Genomic DNA, 3,976 nt, shown 5'->3' with positions numbered 1-3,976 from the left:
CAGATCTGTGAGCCTAGAAAATTTTTTTAAGAAGATTACTGCTTTGGAACCAGGTGCCAGGTTTTGGGTAAAAAGGCTAAAAAAAAAAAAAAACTTATGTAATCTCAGCACTTTGGGAGGCTGAGACGGGTGGATCACCTGAGGTCAGGAGTTCGAGACCAGCTTGGCCAACATGGTGAAACCCCATCTCTACTAAAAATAAGCTGGGTGTGGTGGTGGGCATCTGTAATCCCAGCTATTAGGGAGGCTGAGGCAGGAGAATCACTTGAACTCAGGAGGCAGAGGTTGCAGTGAGCCCAGATTGCACCACTGCACTGCAGCATGGGCAACAGAGCCAGACTCCATCAAAAAAAAAAAAAAAGAAAAAAAGAAAAGAAAAGAAAGAAAAAGAAGAAAGAAAGAAAGAAGGAAGAAAGGAAAGAAGGAAAGAAAGAAAAAGAAATAAAACAAATGTTGCTGTATAACTACATAAATTTCTACTGCCTCAAATATAATCTGAAATCTTAATTTTAGGCTCTTCTTCCATTCCAAATATGAAGGAATAAATATTTTAAAGCTTATATCTGGATAGTGTTTTTCATGTTTGGTAGTATGTTGAATTATTACCGTTTTCCCCATAGTAAGAACATTTATTGAATTCCATTTTTACTTATTTATTTTTAGACATTAATTACAGATCAACTAATGTCTCCTTAACTTCTGAGACTTGCATTTTTCCCTATGGTTGGCAGCAGTTGTGTCAGGTTACGATACAATAACCAATGTAAAATGCATCAGGCCAATTTGAGCCATTTTTTCTTAATGAGTCAGACTTAAAAGGGCCAAAACTTTAATTGGAGAGGAGGGGAGCCTCAGATGCTATGCTTGCTATTGTTCAACGTTTCTGGATGACTAAGAAAGCTGTAGGAAAGCTTATCTATTAGCAGTCCTCAGAAAGCTGGTCTCAGGCTCAGTTCCTCTCCTTCCAATTCTAATTGCTAATTCATGTGTAAATACTAATCCACCTCAAGAAGTGGCAATGAATGTGATCCGATACGATGTGCATGATGTGTGGTGAACTAAAGCTCTGTAACATGTTCAGAGATCAACTGAGGCTTACTCTGTATTAGTGCATTTTCCTCTTCTATTAAGAGGAAAGGAAAACAGCTAAGACTGGGGGTATGGTACCTTGGCTTCTTATAACTTGTGCTGATATATTTCTGTCAGCATTATATTCTTTGGTTTATCAGTTGCAGCAAACAGATTGGTAAACACAATTAAGCTGGATTCTAGTCACTATAATCAAATTATCTTCGACCAGAGAAATAACTACAAAAAAGATCATTTACTGCTAATGGGATCTGAGAGTTCTGCTGATGAAATTCTGGCTATAATTGCTTGGGGGAGGTGTACCAAGAGTTTCAAAAATTCATTTCCAAGAGTCAACATTATTTCATCAAAACTATGCAATCTTCCTGGTAAGAAATAAAATTAATTCTCAGTATTTAGAAAACAGAGGAGTCTAAGCCTGATAAACAAAAGCCTGGGTAGGTGGCTAGTGGTTGGGTAAGTGGTAGGACTCTGTATGGTGAGGCTGAGAGCCCGTGTGAATCTGTGCATACTCTGGAATATCTTGGAGTTAGTCAATTCTCTATAACTATCTTTCCAAGACAGAAAAGTGGTCCAAGACATTCTTTCTTTGGTATTCATGCCCCAAAGTAAAATGTTCAATTAATCAGATATAATTTTTAAAAAAGAAATTTTTCCCCAACTTCAATAAGTATTAGCTAGAATTCCGAATCTCCTAGTATACACCTTCAAATGGAATCACTAAAGTGTATTGCCCTGTAAGTTTTTAAACAGAAATGAAACCATAAGGAAGACATCATTTAAGTTCCAGGAAACAGCATTTAAGTTAACTGTTTGGAAGTTTCTTACAGAAATGAGTTAAAAAAGAAACAACAACAAAAACAGGATTAGTGGTTTCAAAATAATTCATAAGCTATTAATAATTTCAGTATAATATTTAATTACATTATGTTAGCTTCAAAGTTAGAGTCTTATTGTATAATATTTTATTAAGCATAATTTGTTTAACTGCTGATGATAATTGTTCATATATAAAAGAATAAAAGGCCTTTAGAATTCAGTCCAACTAGTTCTGTTTCAGGCTTTACAGACAAAATTAAAGCTTTCCAACAACTTGATTTTTTTCCTCAAACAAAAGGTCTGACAGGTTTTTATACATTCAGAACAGAAAATTCACTTTGCATTCTAATTTGTTGGGGACATGCTCAATGTTCATTCTCTCTGTTAACATTACTTCTGATATAAAAATTCAAAATGATTGCACCTCTTATACTGAGGAATATTACTTGGTGAGTCAATAGATATAAATTTGGATAAAATTTAGATACAAAACCAGGGTCAGAATTGATCTTTGTTATTCCCTTTTGTTAACATTGTTGGAAAGTGGTGGGGTGATAAAAATGTCTGATATCTTAATACCATTTCTATTTGTCACCTGGTCACCAAGATATTATTCAAAATGGCATGCTAATTCTAAAAAATCTACTAAATCTGTTTTATGTGAGTCCTGGGAAGCCAAAAATTCAGGCATAACAAACTAAACAATAAGCAGTGTCTACCTAACATTTGTTGAATTTAGGACAAAAGCAAAATGTGTATGTTATTTTGTGATAAGAAAGCTTGCCAACTATCCCAATTTCCTTTTTTTTTTCTCAGCTCAGAGCATCGTATACATAATCAGCCAATAGATATTCATGGTCACATAATTACACACAACATTTCTTATTGTTTGTGTCCCAATCATCTAAGTTGCTTGCTAAAATGGAGTATCACAGACCCAGCCTAATTCAACACATTCAGTATTTCAGGTTAGAGTAAAGAACGCTCTATTTTCCAGTAAGTTTGGGGTCCACTGGGATAGACATATTAAAAAGAAAGTTTAGGCTTTGTTATAACTGACTGCTTCCCTCATTGGAACCCCTTCCCAACTTCTCTGATTATTACAAAAAAAAAAGGAGAGTTTCACATTGTTGATGCTCCTTCCAACTGCGTGTGGTGGTGGACATTCATTTGTTTTCACTCATTCTTGTTTTCTGACAATTGCATTGAGGACTTCACATTTTTCCAAATACTACTTTAGCTATATCACACAAATTTTGATGTGGAGTGCTTTTCATGGTTATTAAATTCTAAGTATTGTGCAGTGCTTCTGAAGGCTTCTTGATATGTAATTCAAAATGCTGTTTCAAACAGAAACCATTTTCAAATAGTGGTTAACAATAACTGAAATAATGTTATTGCTATAGCACCTCAAGTATGCTGGAGTTTAAATAAGGTTTTTGGCTGTTGTCTGCAATTCCAAAGACTAATCCACCCATGATTTTTATGGAACAATGAGCTAAAACTTAAAAAACAAGTATTTGTAAAAATGAATTCTTAAAATATACAAACATTTTAAAGTTGGTGACTTCCTACTTTGGTAATAACTGTCTTTATTGGAAAACACTATATAACATTGCAGCTCTAAGAATAGTCAAGATGCTGATTCTAGTCCTTCTCATAAATATTTTCTTTATTTATGTATATGAATATATCTTAACAAAAAAAGTGTTCAAAAATAACCTTTGCCAATTTCTCCCAAAGCAAAATATCCTGTTTTTCTTTTTGCATGCTTGACTTGCTAAGCCAACATAATGATTCACAAACCTAAATGGACAATAATAGTAATTCAGTGGCCTTCATTTCTCCTGGATTATTATTATTTTTTAATGTTTGAGGCAGGCTAGTAAGTGGCAAGTGAAGACATTTTTGAGCAGACCTACTCTCTCAATACTGGGCATGTTTTGTCAGTGGTTCCTTCAAGGGCAGAGAACAGAACCGAACAGAATTAGGCAAAAGATTTTCAAGAGTACTGATAATACTGACAGTAAGATAATCATATTTTAGAGTTCTCCTGGATAATAAACTT

The sequence above is a fragment of the Homo sapiens genome, chromosome 16 (genome assembly GCF_000001405.40).
Source record: "Homo sapiens chromosome 16, GRCh38.p14 Primary Assembly".
NCBI classification, from domain to species: domain Eukaryota; kingdom Metazoa; phylum Chordata; class Mammalia; order Primates; family Hominidae; genus Homo; species Homo sapiens.
This window is presented reverse-complemented; position numbering follows the sequence as displayed.